Genomic DNA, 16,679 nt, shown 5'->3' on the forward strand with positions numbered 1-16,679 from the left:
ATTTTGTGTATTTTTTATAGAGACAGGGTTTCACTGTGTTGCCCAGGCTGGTCTCAAACTCCTAGTCTCAAGCGACCCACCCGCCTCAGACTCCCAGAATGCCGGGTCACACCTGTAATCCCAGCACCCCCCTCCACTCTCAATGTACGTCCATCAAGGATTCTTCCTCCCAGCCACTACCTTGGACTGCCCTGATCTCCTAAGGTGACAAAAACTCACCTCTGCCCAGAGAGGTCTGTATCAGCTTCTGGGGCTGCTGGAACAAAATACTATAAACCAGTGGCTTAAACCAGCAAAAATTATTCTGTCACAGTTCTGGAGGTCGGAAGTCCAAAATCAAGGTGTTGGCAGGGCCGCACATCCTCCAAAGGATCTAGAAGAGAATCTGTCCTTGCCTGTTCCAGCTTCTGGCGGTTCCTGGAGTTTCCTGGTGTTCCGTGGCTCATGGCAGCATCACTCCAATCTCCGCCTCTGTCTTCACACGGCCTTCTCGGCATCTGTTCTCTTTTCTGTGTCTCTTGTAAGGACCCACAGTTGGAGTTAGGACCCACCTGGATAATACAGGATCTTGAGATCCTTCAGTGAATTACATCTGCAAAGACCCTTTTTACAAATAAGGTCCACATTCAGAGCAGGCAACAGGATGTGGACACAGCTTTTTGGGAGTCACTGTTCAATCCACCATGAGACCCCTCCTGTGGCTGCCTTCCATACTAGTGCCTCCTGCCATCTTTACCCACCTACCCCTCGCCCTGTGAGCAGACAAAGCACCTTCTCAAACCACGCTGTTCTGGGGCTTTTGGTTCTGAAGGCCTTTGAAGCTGCAGCCTTTGGGGCTACTCCTCAAACCCTGATCACAGGATGAGACCTAGTGTTGGGGCATCCCAGTCACCTACATGCTTCTCAGAGCAGGTCTTAACAATTTGTCTCCTTCAAGGGCTGTTTCTAGACTTGCCTCTTCATCCAGCCTTCCCACCAGGCATCACAGCCCGAGGCATCCGGCCAAGACGGCTGGGGACCGAGTCTCTCAGCCAAACAGGAATGGCGCCCACCAAGATATTAAGGCCATGCATTAGAAAGCACAGGCCCAGAAGGTAATCAAAGGTAATGTAGCTTTGCTCACATTTCAGAGCTTCCGTTCCTCTTTTGAATCTCCCGGACCTTGGCAAATCTCCATTCTTTACGGGTAGATTTGATTTTTAGAAACAGTCAGTAGCCATGGGGGACTAAAGCAGCTCCTGAGATGGATGACGAAAAGCTGGAGAAACCATTTGGAGTCAAGAAGGATGGCGGATAAGGAAGCCGGGAGGGGCGCAAAGTAGAAAGCGGTTCTGAATGTGGCATGGGGGTTGAGCCCCCCAAAGTCACTGCTGCCAAGGGAACAACATGCACACTTGAAAATTCTCACATTTTTGTTCTAAAAAATACTCATTTTATTATTTGTATCACTCAAAAATAACTGTGAGTAGTTTTATGGGGGACATTTGCATTTTTGCCTCCCAGTTCTTCTTTCTCTTACCCTCAATAAGGGTTTAGAATTGGGAGATTTGATCAGAAATCTGAATGAAGCTGTAGCCTCAGCCATTTGTTCTAAGCCCTTTATGTTTATGAGCCAGAAAAACATGAAACAAATTTGGGGTGAGAGAGGCTAAGAGAGAGTCGCTAACTTTTGAATTTTGTCAAAGTTGAAAATGTAGAAAGAAAAAAAAAACAGCTTCTCACATACTGTCACCATAATTTCATAAACAAAAGGATGTTTAAACAGCAAAGAAGAAGTAGAAATGACATCATCTCATAATAAAACAGCCCTTCCGATGGAAAGGATTTTGCTTTATGAAAAACTCCACATATTATCTTCCTTGTTCTCACTTGGCTGTAGGTTAGTGAAAACTTGTTATAAACCAGCACCACCCGTGAGTCATGGGCTGCTGTGAATAGGAACCTGAAGGCTAAAAATCCTAGAGCCAGGTGTTTACCATACTTGACCTTTACTCCTGACAGCAGCGCTGCACCGCAGACACCGTTAGCTCCATTTTATGTATGGGAGAAGTGGGACTCTACTGGTCTAAGTGATTTTGCTCAAGGGCCACAGATCCAGCTATGGTAGAGAGGAATTGGAACTTCCGTGGCCTTGACTCCAACCCCTGTCTTAGTTTCCACCAAGGACATTGTCTCTCACTCAGCACAGGTGTGTTCTCCATTTGAACAGCCTTGGGCTCTACAAATTCACCGGCACAAGCATTCATGGAGCCATTTCTATGTGCAAGGCTCTGTGCTAGGTTCTGGGGTGACAGCGATACATAAAACACGATTCCTGACCTCAGCGAGCTCGCCCTCCCATTGAAACAACCAACAGATTCACATAAAGCCACTGATGAACGCAGTAGCGATAGTCATCCCAGTCACTGTGAGAGTTCACAAGGTCAGGTCCACGTGGAGTCTGGATGTGTAGACAATGAGCTTTAAAAGGGCCACACTTTCAGGAGACACTCTCACACTGCTGGCCAGCATGCAGACCTTTCCAGAGGGCAATTTAATAATATGTTGTTTTTTAAAATATGTATTTTCTTTGACTGCACAACTCCACTCCTAGGAAATTATTTTAAGGACATAGAGAAGTGTGCAAAGACAAATATACCAAGGATGTTCATTACAATCCTACTTACAACACTGAGACCTGTTTAGAAAATAAATCCTTGCCCTCAAAGAGAAATGTGCTCTATGAGAAAGTATAAGCAGAGATGTCTCTTCTTTTTCCATCAAAGAAGAGACAGATGTGCGGCCTGGGGTCTGACAATGCTGAAACCCGACTTTGTGACCTTGAGCAGTTACTACCTCCTTGGTCCTCAGTTTTGGGCTCAGGAGGTGGGATAAGAGAAGCAATGTCCCCAGAGCCATTGGAAGGTGGGCTGCATCATACAGGACACAGAGAACCGTGGGCTGCATCATATAGGACACAAGGAACCCTTGGCTCAGGTCCTGGGAGAGGGAAGACACCCCGGGGGTGGGAGCTAATTAATACTATTTTAAAAAGTGATTTCTGACCTCAGCTTAAAAACCCTTGGAATTACAGAAACCTGGAGCAGGGCAAGTTGAAGACAGGGATGAGCCAGGGGTGATGGGGAGGAGCTGCTGGTCTGTCCGAGGGGAGCTCCCGGGCTCCTGCCCCTGGGAGCCCCTCCGCTTGCAGGAGGGTGCAAAACCGCAGGTCATTTATGCTCCCCTGGTATTTAGCATGAGAGGAGGAGTAATTGCCCTGGCAGTGTCCTGGCTGAGTTCCAATTTGGGTGATTACATTCTGCCTACTTAAAATTCCCCTCTCTGGTATCCATGGTAGAAGCATTCTTCAAACCCTCTCCTGTTACGGGGAAAAATAAAATAAAATAAAAAGAAAGGAATCAGCCCAGCCTTCTGTATACACATGGTATAGAGGGTTGCTCTGTGCACCCCAGAAGTGGTTTCCTTTAAAAAGGGGGGTGGAGGATCCCCAGTGGAATAAATCCGTCAAACATGTTGAAATTTTCCAGAAAGAAAGATTTTGTTTCAGGAGGGAAGACAGTGTGGGTGGGAGCTCTGCGGCTGAGTATGGAGAACACTTAGGTGAAGAGAGTCTTTTAGGTGAGGCCGCTGTGTCACCTGCTTGGGGTCGCACTGGTGGGCTTGGGGCTCAGGCCTCAGTCCTTTAACCACTCCCCCACCCCCTCACCATAATGCCTCCTGCCTGTTGCATTCTTGATGTTGCTTAATTATAGAATATAAAATTGTTTCTTTTCATTTGGATGCTATTGGGAGTGATGTATGGATAACAGCTTGAGAATTCAAATTATTCTACAGATCAACATGACCCGAGAGAAGAAAAAATGTTTTGACTATTACACTAAACAAACCGGGCTGGATGTCAGAAAGATGCTGGGCTGTGCACATCTCCGCGTGCACGATTTGCACTCGTCCTAAGTGGCTTTATTAATTAAAGCGCACCAGGACTTTGAAACATTTGTACCAAATGTATTTTTTAGACACACACACACACGCACAACAAATGGTTCGGTAAAAGCAGTAAAGTTGGATTTCAGAAAGTAGCCCCCTCCCTTCGAGCTCTTCCCGACTTGCAAGTGATCCTTCAGAAGTCTCAGCTTCCTATTTCCATGGGTCTGAAAGAATCACAATTAACCCCTGATTTACGGGAGGGCTGTAGAGGTATGAAATGTGAGAAACCTCGGCAACAGAGACAGAAACGCAGGAAGACTCGTGTGCAGGGATGATGCGGGGAGAGCCTGTCTTCAATCACAGTGTCTGTGCCGGCGAATTTACGATAGTGTCAATGCACAGCTGAATAAAAAGCCAAAATATCCACTACAGATGAAACCTGTGTATCTCTATATGTATTTGCCCATCTACCCATCCATGTTTCACAAAAGGCAACTGTCCCTCGCATTCCTGTGTTCAACCTCTCCCTATTAGGCAACAATGGCTGCAAGCTCGTTGGTTTTGGTGGATTTGGCGATTCTCATGCCTCTTTTGATGACCAGGTGAGACTGAAATAACACATGGTTAAACTGCAGCTTCTCTCGTCTTAGTCCCCCACCCTTAGACGGACAAACAGCCAAGGTTGCATCTTGCCGCGAGTTTTTGTTCTGCTGATGTTCATGTGAGCAGAAGGAAATCTTTCTACTTGAAAATCCTAATGACTTGGAGGGATGTGTTCATGCACCTGGCTCCTCTGGAGGGATAAACCTAACTGCCAGTGTGTCTTCCACAATGAACCTGCGAGTGCTCCTGTCACTGCAGCTATAATTGCCTAGAAAGATCGACCCTCTGGTGAACAACTGACTCGACTCCATTGCTTAACACTTCGAATGCGTTTCCATCCCAGGCCTGTCCCACATGGTCGGGAAGGGGGTGTTTTGGTGTCAGAACAAGAGAGGGTTTCGGTCAGAGCCCTGGATCTGTGCAGCGAGGCTACCCAGTGCTATTTGCCTGCATATCTACATAAACTAATCCTGGCGAGTGTGATCTTTGGTGGCCCTCAGCTAGGAGGTTCTTACCACAAGTCTGGCTTGGGTTCCATCTGCAAAAAATAAGACACAATAAAAAGGCTGAGACTCAGCAGTAACCCAGAGAACAAAGTGACAGGTTTCAATTTCCTCCAAATTGTACATATATTTTTCCATAATCATATTTTCTAGTATCCAAGCCCTGTTTTAAAAAATTTTTAATGCATGCTTAGACAAATTATTTTAAAAGCTCTGTGAAATATTAGCACCATTTTAGTAGGTATGTCTCAAAACAATATCATACAAAAGAAAAAGAGGAAGAAAATAAAAGGAGATGTTTCCAGTAATGGTCAAAATATACCAATCTGTACACCCCTTTCAGAACTGAATATTAGTTTTCTTGTCCAAACCATGATGTATTAATATCACCACTTTAACAATAGGCTTTTATTTTCTTACAGTGAAGCTGACTGACAAGGGATGAAGAGTGAAAATTACAATTTGAGAACCTCTTTGGTCAGCTATTGGGAAAGAATGAACTCTCCCCTGTGCAAACCACCTCACGATTTTTCAGGAAGCCAGGGCGAGGAACTTGGATTCCAAAGCCTAGAGAAAGATGTGAGCTGCAAAACTTTCTTTTGGTGGGTGAGGAGACTGGCGTGGGGAGAAGCGGTTTCTGCTGGAGGCGTCTCCACTGCAGGGTGGGGGGGCGGTGTTGGGAGGACTTCCACTTGCTGGCGATATTGACTAGAAAACAAGACTCATTTTGTCTATCTTTTCCTGGATAAAGGACTGATAGGCTCCCCCCACTGCAGCTGTTTTGTTCTTCAAATATATTATCACTTTTTAAACGGATGGTAAAGGAAAAAAATGCATTCATTTTTTCAGCCTAAGGAGACTGCAGGAAAAAGCAGTTCTGCTGCTGAGGTACAACGTAGCATAATGTTGTTTTTCAAAACACCACCAGTTCTGCCTTCCCCTTTTAATGGTATTCATTTTCCTTCTTAGAAAAGGGGTTAAAATTAGTAGGCACATTTCATATTAGCGTATTTCATGCAATAAAGCATAAATTATTTAAAATAACACGACCTTTTATCTTGCACCTTTTGAAGGAAGCAAATTAAAAATGTAAATTGGGAGCTAATTAATATGCAAATGTATTCATTCGCAGTTAACAATTAGCAATTAAACCTGCAGTGTCTACAAAGAGCACGGACAAAATTAGTAACTTAATTTATCATTAAAAAATGAAAACGTACACAAAATTTTAATTGACTTTCAAAATATTTCCCCTGCTTTTTTCCTTTCATTTTTTAATACCAAAAAAAAATTTTTTTAATATTATGCCTTACCTCTACAGATGAAATTGGGTACATGCAGTGTTCAGGGGAGTTCATTAAATAGGATTGGAGAAAAGCATGTTAGGAAAAGTTTGCCTTTTACATGAGGTATTAAAAGATGACATTTAAGAGTGTTGACTTGTGTTGCATAGTCGAGTTCAAGAGAGAAATAAATACATAGATTCTCCTGTGTTTGGGAATATAGAGATGGCAGAGATTTGTAGAGATAAGGGGGAGTATATGCGGCTTATGCACATAGATGTGGGACCGGCTGTGTGTGTGTGTGTGTGCGCGCGTGTGTGTGTCTACACCTTCTAGAAGACACACAGCAAACGTACAGGGTCATTTAAATGCTTCTGGTTCAGCTTTGAGAATTCCAGTACAAAACAGTTGCATGGAAAATCAGCAACAAATAGCTTAAGATGTAAATAAGATACTCTCGGTTGATCATGAGACACATTAGCATTCTATGTTTCATCTATCCCTCCTCACTACAACCCAGACACACATATTTTCCACTTTCTGTTTTCCTGTAGAATTTAAAGAGCAAACCTTTTGCATATTTTCCTGAATTTGGGGTTCATTTGCTGCGTCTCCTCACCATCAGCCTAGCTCTGCCTGCAGATGTAGCCTTATATTTTTACACACTCCCTTTCTAATGTCATGCAGCATAGGAAAGAACCCAGCAAACATAGGATCTGTTGCTTGCAACCTTATTTTGGTTATTTAAACAGCACCTGCTGCTCCAGCTCCATTGAGAGCTTTAAGTTTCATTCACAAGTGTTTTCTTTTGGTTTTTCTTGCTTCAGGGCTGACTCGGGGCGGCTGCGCTGCGTTCTCTCCCCTGTGAACTTTGCTCACGTTTTGGACTGGGCAGCATCTCGCGGTCTGCTCGAGCGGGCTGCCCTTCTGCTTAGAGCTGGACAGTGTTCTCGTCTGCTAGAACGGGATTTTATGGTCAACAGGACATTGCCATGTGTCACTGCAACACTTAGAGGGTAGTTTGAACTGGGATTGAAGGTCTGTCTGGCTGCTTTCCCCGGCAGGCCCCAAACTGGCTTGGATGCAATTGAGCCAGCATTTTCCAAGGTACTCTCATTCACAGTCATAAGGGACAAACGCATCTCATGTGAAAAACTCAAAGGCCAAGGAGGCCAGGGCATGAAGTATTAAGTTGATTTTATTCGGTTTCACAGAAGGCAGTTCTGTCTTGTTGACTAGCAACATTGTGACAAATTGTTCTCGATTAAATGCTTATTATGTGTTTATTTAGCTGTTTGCCTGGAACTAGAGAAGAAAAAAAAATGTGTTACAGTGTATGGCAATATTCTATCCTTTCATAATTGTACCAGAGAAATATGGCATTTTCTCTCCTAAATTTGTACTTATTTCGGGCTCTCTCACACTCTCCTGACAAGTCTGATACTCCAGAACTTCCCAACAATAAGAGAGACCAGGGAAAACAAACAAAAAAACTTGGTTTTAATGGAAAATAAGAGAAGAAGCTAAATATAGCTCTTGACTTTCACAGAATTGTGATTCAGATCTGCTAATTTCTATTTGCCTGGGAGAAATTTTAAGAGTCTCATCGCACCCCCCCCCCCCACCGCCCCCCGCCCCATGGCCATCCCCACCTCCCTAGACTGGAGGGCCCGGAAATAATGACTGGGAAGGAGTTTACCTGTCATCTGTGACACACCCGAAAGAAAGGTTTTTCAGCCAGGGACCCAGCTACAATGCCCAGGCTGGGAACTGTGTGGTTCAGAGGTTCATAGAAGGCATTTAGGAACCAGCTTATAAAAATTAATGTTTTCTTCTTTTATAGGAAATATGCACCATTCTATTTCAGTATGGAAAAAATACGGACCTTGTCACTGATCATTTTTCATGGACTATTTATTTAGGTTTTGAGCAGCTCAGAAGCCTTTTTATTCCTTTTGAGCTCCCCTTGGGATGCTGAAGAGAATAAAGATTTCTCCCTTCCAATACCGTGCACACATTTCACTGTGGGAACTGTCACCAAACTAAACAAAAAACTGAGTCCAAGCACCTTCCACCTCGTTGGCCAAAAAAGACCCAAACGGCCCTCATATTTTTATTTTTGCTTGTGCGCCTGCGATATTAAGCAGCTAACAACAATCTGAGAATTAAGTTACCACAATTAGGAATTAGAAGCAGGTGGCATAATAATGGCGCTTTTTTCATTTCATTTATTAGCAAAAAGAGAGAGAGGAGCTTCATTTATTTTCATCAGCGCCTCAGTAAAAGCATAGCAATTTGCAACACAAAAATCATTTCAAGTACCTCAGCCTTGTGCAAACCTTTTTTTTTTTTGTTGTTGTTCCTTTAAAAGCCTTTTAAAGTTCACCACCTCCCCCGCCCAACCCCATTCTGAAAGGACGTGCGTGTGTGTGGAGAGGTGAGTACTGGTGGGATCAGACTATTTCTCCCCCAAAGCAGTTTTGGGGGTTCCATAACCCAGGGAGCGAGGTGTGGGGCATCTCCTGCCCTGCCTGCCTCCGCCTGTCTCTCATTTAGTTTTGCACCGGCTTGTTTCAGTCTTGCAAAGATTTAATGCAGGGGCAACCTCTCTCCAAATAAATAAAGTGAGCAACACCTCTTTGCATGGCACCCTCCCATCAGCCATCCGGGCCAGCGCCTCCAGCACCCCACTGCCCGGCTCCGCGGCACCCCACTGTCCAGCCCCTAGCACCCCACTGCTGGTGCCGACACCCGCAGGCCCTACGCTTTTTGCGTTTCTACCCGCCGCTCCTCGCAGACCTGGCGCGGCGCAGCAACCTTTGCGCGCCCTCTAGCGTCAGCATCGGGGATTACCACGAGCTGGCCCGCACGCCGCCGCCGCCTCCAAGCACCACCCGCCCGCGGGAGAAGCAGCCCGGGCTGCAGCAGAGGCTGGGGGGCGAGGGGGGCGAGGGGCCGAGGGGGTGCCTGGGCTCGTGCATTTACACGAAGTCCCTCCGAGACGGAGGCGGGCGTGGGTGATTTTATTGCAAACTTTGGGGAGCCCCTTCCTTGGCTGCGGCCGCCCGCTGGTGTTGCCCCCGAACCCTGGGCATGGGGCGAGTGGCCCAAGCCCGGACCCTTGGAAGTGGCGCGGCGGGGCTGCCTTTCCTCGGGTGTTCGCGGCTCGGCGCGACCCTCTCTCCCGTCTGCTCCCCGCCGCTCTGCTCGCCCCCTCCCCTCGACCAGGTTCTGGCTTTCTGGCCTGTTCCGGCCTGGGGGACTCCCTTGTCCTGTGCCTCCCCATTCTACTCTCTGTCCACATACCCCTGAGTCTCTCTTTTCTCCCTGTTTGATTTATTTTAGAGCAGCGGATCACAATTTCTGACTTCCACTTTGCTCTGTCTGCCTTTCCCCATCCTACAGCATTCTCGCCGTTTGTCTTTTTTTCTTCCCTGTAACTTTTTCTTCTCTCTCTCTCTCCCCTCCCTACCTGTCTCCCTCCCTCTCCCTCCCTCTCTCTCCCCCTCTCTCTCTCTTTCTCTCTTTTTGAGAGAGTCTCCCTCCAGGCTGGAGTGCAGTGGCGCGATTCCGGCTCTCACTGTCGGGTGCCCGCCACTATGCCCGGCTAATTTTTATATTTTTAGTAGAGACGGGGTTTTTCCATGTTGGCCAGGCTGGTCTGGAACTCCTGGCCTCAACTGATCCGCCCGCCTTGGCCTCCCAAAGTGCTGGGATTACAGGCCTGAGCCACTAGGCCCTGCCTCTTCTCTCCTTTTCTGTTTCTCAGCCTCCAACTTCATATTTCTGTTTATATTCTTTCTGCCCCCTGTTCCCCAGGGAGTTTCACAGAAGAGCCACAGGCCTCTAGCATAGTCATCTAGAATGCCAGCCACCTCTTTTCCGTCCAGCGTCTTGGAATTAGTCTCCACTGGATCTTGCTGCCTGAGCTTCTGGTCTGCAGGGTGACAGGTGCCTTCTGCAGCCCCCTCAGGCCAGGCTTGTTTTTGTTTGTCCTTTGCTTTATAAACACAGACAAATAGCCGTTTATTTGGAATTCACTGTCCTCATTGAAGAGGTGGCATTAGGTGAGTGTAGGAATGGTGATGGGGATGGGATACCAGAGTCCAGAAGGCCGTGGTCACGGAGAATCCTCCACAAGCTCCCAGAGTTTGGACTTTCCAGGACAGCCTTGCATCTTCCCTGCCGATCGGGCAGCCTTGGAACCTGGCACAATTTTATTAAAGATATGTCCAGTTTTAGTGGCCACCAAACTTTTCAACGGTTGTTGGTATTTGAGAGAAGTCTCCATCACCAAAATAATAAAAGGAATTCAGATAAAACAATGAGTTAGTACATGAACCTATGGAGTGAGGAAAGATTACAATAAAATCAAAGGCTGGTGAGGGAGGAGAGAAGACAGGATGTGCAGTGGCATAATCTTGGCTCACTGCAGCCTCAACCTCCTGGGCTCAAGCTATCCTCCCACCTCTGCCTCCCAAAGTGTTGGGACTACAGGTGTGAGCCACCACACCTGAGCTTTGGGGGTATAAATTGGTAAAAAGAAATTTGGCAATCTGTATTAAGAAACTTTAAGATACTCCCACCATTTTTTTTTTTTTTTTTTTTGTGATGGAGTCTCTCTCTGTTGTCCAGGCTGGAGTACAGTGGTGAGGTCTCCACTCACTGCAACATCTGCCTCCTAGGTTCAAGCAATTCTCCTGCCTTAGCCTCCCTAGTAGTTGGGATTACAGGCATGTACCACCACCTCCGGCTAATTTTTATATTTTTAGTAGAGACGGGGTTTGGCCATGTTGGCCAGACTGGTCTTGAACTCCTGGCCTCAGGTGATCTGCCCGCCTTGGCCTCCCAAAGTGCTGGGATTATAGGTGTGAGCCACCGTGCCCAGCCAGATACACATATCTTTTGATCCAGTAATTCCACTGCTGAAAATCTATCCCAAAGAAAGATTCTGAAACGTGGAAAAAGCTGGAGAAGTAAACCAAGCTGCCATACTTGAAAGAGAAATTGGAAATAACCTAGATGTCCAACAAAAGTGGATGACGATTTGAGTAAACCAGGGTCCACCCGCCACTTAAAATTGATGCTGCCGTGGAGAACCATGTTGGTAAGAGTACAGTAACCTGGGAGTGCAGGTGATCGCGTGCTGAGACAAAAAGCAGGATTCAAAGCTGAATCCACAGCATGATCACGAAAAAGATGCTCCACAAAGTAAAAGTTACACAGAAAATACCCGCACAGTGCCTGTCTTTGTATGGTTGGAACTATGGGCAAAGTTTTTCCTCCTTTATCCTTCCACTTCTCTTTTGCCTTCTAATTTTCTTGAAAGAGTGAGATTTTACTTTTAGAATAGAATAAAAGTCACCTTTGTTTTTCCTTTTTAAAGTGGCTGTGAAAGCGACACGGGCTCTGTGGGAAGAGAAGTAAGGAGGACTTCTGGGAAGGAAACGAGGTTCTCGGATGAGCAGGGGCTGTGATATGAAAGTGATCAAGAGGTGAGTGTGTGGGGGGTAGGGACGGAGCATGGGTTTTGGAGAAAAGTGTAGCTAGATTCCAATCCGGCTTCCACTCCATGAGGTGGGGCTGTGCTGGGCTCCACCAAAGGCTTGCTGCTGCCTTAGCTGTTAAACACGGGCTTGGTTTCCTCAGCAACTGACCCGAGCACTGTGTATCTGTGGTCATCACCATGCTCCTGTGTGCTGATGAAACAAGGAACATACACAGTACAGTCTCACTGGAGAGAAAGCTACTTCCCGATGGGTGTCTTAGCCCAAGCCGGATGATCTGTGGGCCAGCACCTGAGCACCTGAGCAGTAGTTGCAGCCCTGGGCTTCACCTGCTCACACAGGGCTGTGTTTGGACAGGTGCATCCCAAAGCGTGCTCCATGGAGCACTGTCCCCAAGATGGTCCAAAATGCCTTGACACATGTATTGAGCACCTACTGTGTACCAGGGCTGTAAATTCCTCAAGGGCAGGGAGCAGATCACCCAGCAAGGGTCTCACTACAGGGCCAGGTGTGGTGGCTCACACCTGTAGTCCCAACACTTTGGGAGGCAGAGGTGGGAGGATGGCTTGAGCCCAGGAGGTCGAGGCTGCAGTGAGCCAAGATTATGCCACTGCACTCCAGCCTGGGTGACAGAGTGAGACCCTGACCAAAAACGAAAGAAAGAAAGAACAAGCTAATGAACGAAAGAAAGAAAGAAGAGAGAGAGAGAGAAAGAAAGAGAAGAGAAGAGAACAGAACAGAACAGAAAAGAAAAGGAAAAAAAGGCTCAGCACAGTAGAGGAGCTCAACATCTTAACTTTCATTCATTCAACCCATCCTTCATTTGAGGCTGATCCTTGGTGAAATTGGGACATTGAGGAAGCTTATTTTAGCTGACCCTTCATCTTCCATGTCACAGCTTCTCTTCTCTTGCTAGAAATTCATCCTGCCTCCCTCCTTCCCTACAGTGCTAGCTAATAGAACATTCAATGAGGATGGAAATGTTCTAAAACGTGTGCTGTCCAATGTGATTGCCACTAGCCACATGTAACCACTGAGCATCTGAAATGTGTCTAGTGCCACCAAACTACTGAATTTTTAATTGTAATACATTTTAATCTAAACCAAATAGCCACATATGGTTAGTGAGTACAGTATTGGACAGCACAGCTCTGTAAAAACCTGTCCTCAGTTTTGCCTCTGGTCTCACTCAAACTCAAATCCATCTTTTGTGTCCACCCTGTGATGAGCCCTTCAGGCCTTGCTCTAGATGTCACTTCAGTGGCATGCTGGAGTCGGCCTCCACTGGCTGGCACCAGCTTGCACCAGCTTGCAGGAGCACATGTTTGCATCTCTTCCCAACCTGCAGTGACTTAACATTGGTAGCTTGACATCAGCAGCTATGGAAGCATTTACACCATGGGAATGGGCAAACACTACACATCAGGTCTGTTTCCCCCCAGAGCCAGTCATTAAATGGCAGCGTTTACACCAGGGGAGTGGGCAGACACTACACATCACGTCTGTTTCCCCCCAGAGCCAGTCATTAAATATTTTCCAGTGTATCCATGAGTCACAGGGCCAGGACTTGCATTCCCCACAGACTGAGTGTCTCCTCCAGCCTTGCTCACCCCCATCCTGGCTCTGCTTTATTCACCTGGCTTCCCAGTGTCAGGTTGGGCTCTTGGACTGGGATCCTGTGGCTCCCAGGGCTTCCAGTTCTCACTGGACTCTCACGCTGCAGTTTTATGTCTGCTTCCTCCATTAGTTTTATAATCTTTTGAGAATAGGTAGCTCCTGTGACCTGTGAAGTGCTGAATCCCCAGGGCCTAGCCCATAGTAGGCAATCAATAAGTAGGTATGGAATAAATAAAGACAGCATGGTGGAAAGAGTGTGCAACTGGGAGCCTGTATCTGGGGCCCTAAGTTGGAATCTTGCTCTGCCTGTTACCAGCTGTGTGACATTGAATCTGGCCCCTCTGTGAGTCAGTGTCCTTGCATGTTACACAGGCATAACAATCCCTTTCCTGTCCACCTCGTGGGGATATTGGAAGGGTCACGTGACATATAGGAGTGCTTTAAAAGACCATGCAAATAAACAAATCGCTTTTGAAAGTCCAGGAAAGCTGACCATGGTGGTGTGCCCCTCTAGTCCCAGCTACTCAGGAGGTGGAGGTGGGAGGATTGCTTAAGGCCAGGAGATTGAGACCAGCCTGGGCAACACAGTGAGACCCCATCTCTAAGAAAAGAAAAGAAAAGAAAAGAGAAGAGAAGAGAAGAGAAGAGAAGAGAAGAGAAGAGAAAAGAAAAGAAAAGAAAAGAAAAGAAGTCCAGGGACATTGTGAATTCAGTTTGGTCTTTTGCCGTCTTGGGTTTGTGAATCACACGGGCGAAAGAGGACCATAGGGAATCTGCATTCTCCCAGTGTGTTAAATGAAATGGGACAAGCACAGCAACCCTCAAGGAAGGGAGAGGAGGTTGCACGTGCAGCTGGCCGGGCAGGTGGCCTTGAAGGGCAGGCTGCAAGCCCCTTCTCTCCCTTAGCAGAAGAATTCAGCCTGGCTGCGCCCGAAGATGGTTCTGTCCATGGCCTTGTACGAGGAAGGAGGGACTGATGGTTCACGCTGAGCTCTTGGATGAGAAATGGTTTCTTTCTGGCATTTAAGAAAGAAGTTCTCTCTTTAAAACCCACAAATGTTTGTTAGTTATTTTTCTCCTTGAGAAATGTTTTCCTGAAATCTGCGACGCCGAGGCTCGTCGTGGGCATTTCGGCTTCTGTGGCCTGTGAAAGTTGACTGTGAACGAGGGCTGCTCCAAAGGGGTTAATTGCATGTAGGCATTGGAAAGTGATTATCTAATTAAACTTTGAAATGGAATGGTAAAAACACTGGGTGACAGACTGTCTGTAGGAGGGTCCCCTGAGGTGTTCTCCATTTATTGCTAATCATCTCTGCCCAGGCTGTGCCTGCCTCCAGCGGAGCCCGCCTCAGACCTCGCTCTCTGGAACTCTGGCTTGGCTCAAAGATTTGTCAAACAGACCTCCCCCTCGGTGTTCCGTGCCCTCCCTGAACTCTGCAGTTGAGCCTGGATGTCTTGGAAGACTTTCGTCACTTGTCTTCAGCTCCGCAATTTCTATTTAAAATTGAAAGGTTATTTCTATTCTTAGAACCATGAAATCAAAGAAATGTGAAGTGTTGGGAGTTAATTCTAGATATTTATGAATATTGCCCAGAATATCTGGGTTGGAGACCTAGCATACCAGCCATAAAGCACATGTATTGTACCCCTTGCATTTAAGTCTGCCGGCGTTTATTCAGTCCTCTGAGCCAGGCCCCTGCTAGACATTTTGGTGATGGAGAGGTGACGCTGATGAGTACCTTGCTGTAAAGCCACCTTCAGGCTGGAGGGGCACTGCTGGGTGAATGCACATTAACGTAGCTCTTTGTAACTTAGAGAGCTCTCCTCATTCCCGCCTGGCCATTTTATAGATGAGAAAACCGAGGCTCAGACTTGCTTAAGAGACTTACCGGAGCCCCTCAAAGCCAGGCGTCCTGACATTAAAAGCCACTGTTGCCTGCTGCCCCGGGGTAAGCAGCTGTCTGTGCTGGATGCCGGGGGGAATGGTGAAGATGGTACGCATTTCTGCGGGAGGCAAAGAGGGAAATTTCATAGAGGAGTTGGCATCTGAGTATGATTTTAACAGCAGGGGCCAGGCCAGGGAAGGCACAGAGAAAGGCAAGTGCACATTGACTTTGGGGACCAGCAAGTTGGCAGGAGTGATGTGAGACCTTTTTTTTCGTATTTTTAAGTTTTGAATGATTCCTTTATTCAGCAATAAATGCTCAGTGAGTACCTATCCTGTGTTGGTGCATGGAGAGAAACATTCTTGCAGAATAGTTGCAATCTTCTGGGCAAGACAGCATGTGCTCAGAGCTGGGTATTGGGAGACAATGCCGAAGAAGGCTGCAGGCATAAAGATGGGAGAACAGATCTGAAAGCAGCTTAAGCTGAAATTCCAGAATTGCTTCCACTTCCTTTTTGGTCTAGAATCAAGGTGCTGGAGTTACTCGATTTCCCCTCTGGAATTGTTTCGTGGAGCAACACTTTAATATTTTGCCCTCAGCAAAGGTTCCACGGTGATGCAAGAGCTGCCCAAGGAACATCACTGCATTTTTTTTTTCTTTTTGTAAAATGACTATTGGGGATATAATTCATTACACTGCTCAATGCCACTTAATGCAAATGTCTCTATGACAAGTGCATTCTAGGGCACTGGGCCAAGAAAAATTGGTTCTCTTGACACACGGGCTGGTCCTACCTCTAAGACAATAAGAACTCCACGCCCAGCCGGCCTTTGCTCCAGACTCCAGCTGTTGGGAAGCTCAGAACAAGATTTCGGGCTTAATTTCTACAGCATTACCTGTAATATTACACCTCCCTGCTTGATCTGATTTTACTCTGTTTTTATTGTAAGATGTTCTTCTGGAAAGAGGGGTGGCGAGAAAGGGGAGTGATGAAATCAATCAATAAATGGTTTGAAACAGCTTCTGGCAGTATTAAATAGTGTTTGCATATATCTCTCCAGCACCATTTCCAAAACTCCGTTCCATGGCACACAAAGGTTCCGTGAGATGTTCGTGGGTATTCCAAAGGACAGGAGCTCTCACAGCTGGTGGCATTGTTCGTCTTAAATTCATTTTAAAGTGTACATTAGAAAAATGCAAAAAATGTATAAAGTGGTTCTAATTATTAAAAGAGGCTGTGTGGTATAACAGTTAGGAGCACCGGCTCAGGAACCAGAATCCCCAGGTTCAACCTGACCTGGAAATTACTTGACCTCTTTGTGACTCAGTTTCTTCATCCATAAAATTACCCTG

At 46.5% G+C, this 16,679-nt stretch overlaps 1 long non-coding RNA gene across 1 annotated transcript in view, besides 2 other annotated features; it reads left to right on the plus strand.

The window, feature by feature from the left end:
* Positions 8,399-8,899: an enhancer, noted in NCBI's record as "H3K4me1 hESC enhancer chr14:97207194-97207694 (GRCh37/hg19 assembly coordinates)". NCBI's record gives its function as "activates a minimal SCP1, AML or CMV promoter by ChIP-STARR-seq in primed H9 embryonic stem cells {active_cell/tissue: H9 hESC(primed)}" and the evidence as "EXISTENCE:reporter gene assay evidence [ECO:0000049][PMID:30033119]".
* The window catches only part of LINC02299 (long intergenic non-protein coding RNA 2299), a 49,423-nt gene continuing 41,476 nt past the window's right edge, over positions 8,733-16,679 (plus strand). The window contains exons 1-2 of the long non-coding RNA NR_146552.1: positions 8,733-8,753; positions 11,703-11,811. This is a non-coding gene — a long non-coding RNA (long intergenic non-protein coding RNA 2299). The remainder of the gene's footprint in view (positions 8,754-11,702; positions 11,812-16,679) is intronic.
* Positions 9,235-9,284: a silencer, noted in NCBI's record as "silent region_6057". NCBI's record gives its function as "represses an Ori minimal core promoter by ATAC-STARR-seq in GM12878 lymphoblastoid cells {active_cell/tissue: GM12878}" and the evidence as "EXISTENCE:reporter gene assay evidence [ECO:0000049][PMID:35858748]".

Source organism: Homo sapiens, chromosome 14 (assembly GCF_000001405.40).
Source record: "Homo sapiens chromosome 14, GRCh38.p14 Primary Assembly".
Taxonomy (NCBI): domain Eukaryota; kingdom Metazoa; phylum Chordata; class Mammalia; order Primates; family Hominidae; genus Homo; species Homo sapiens.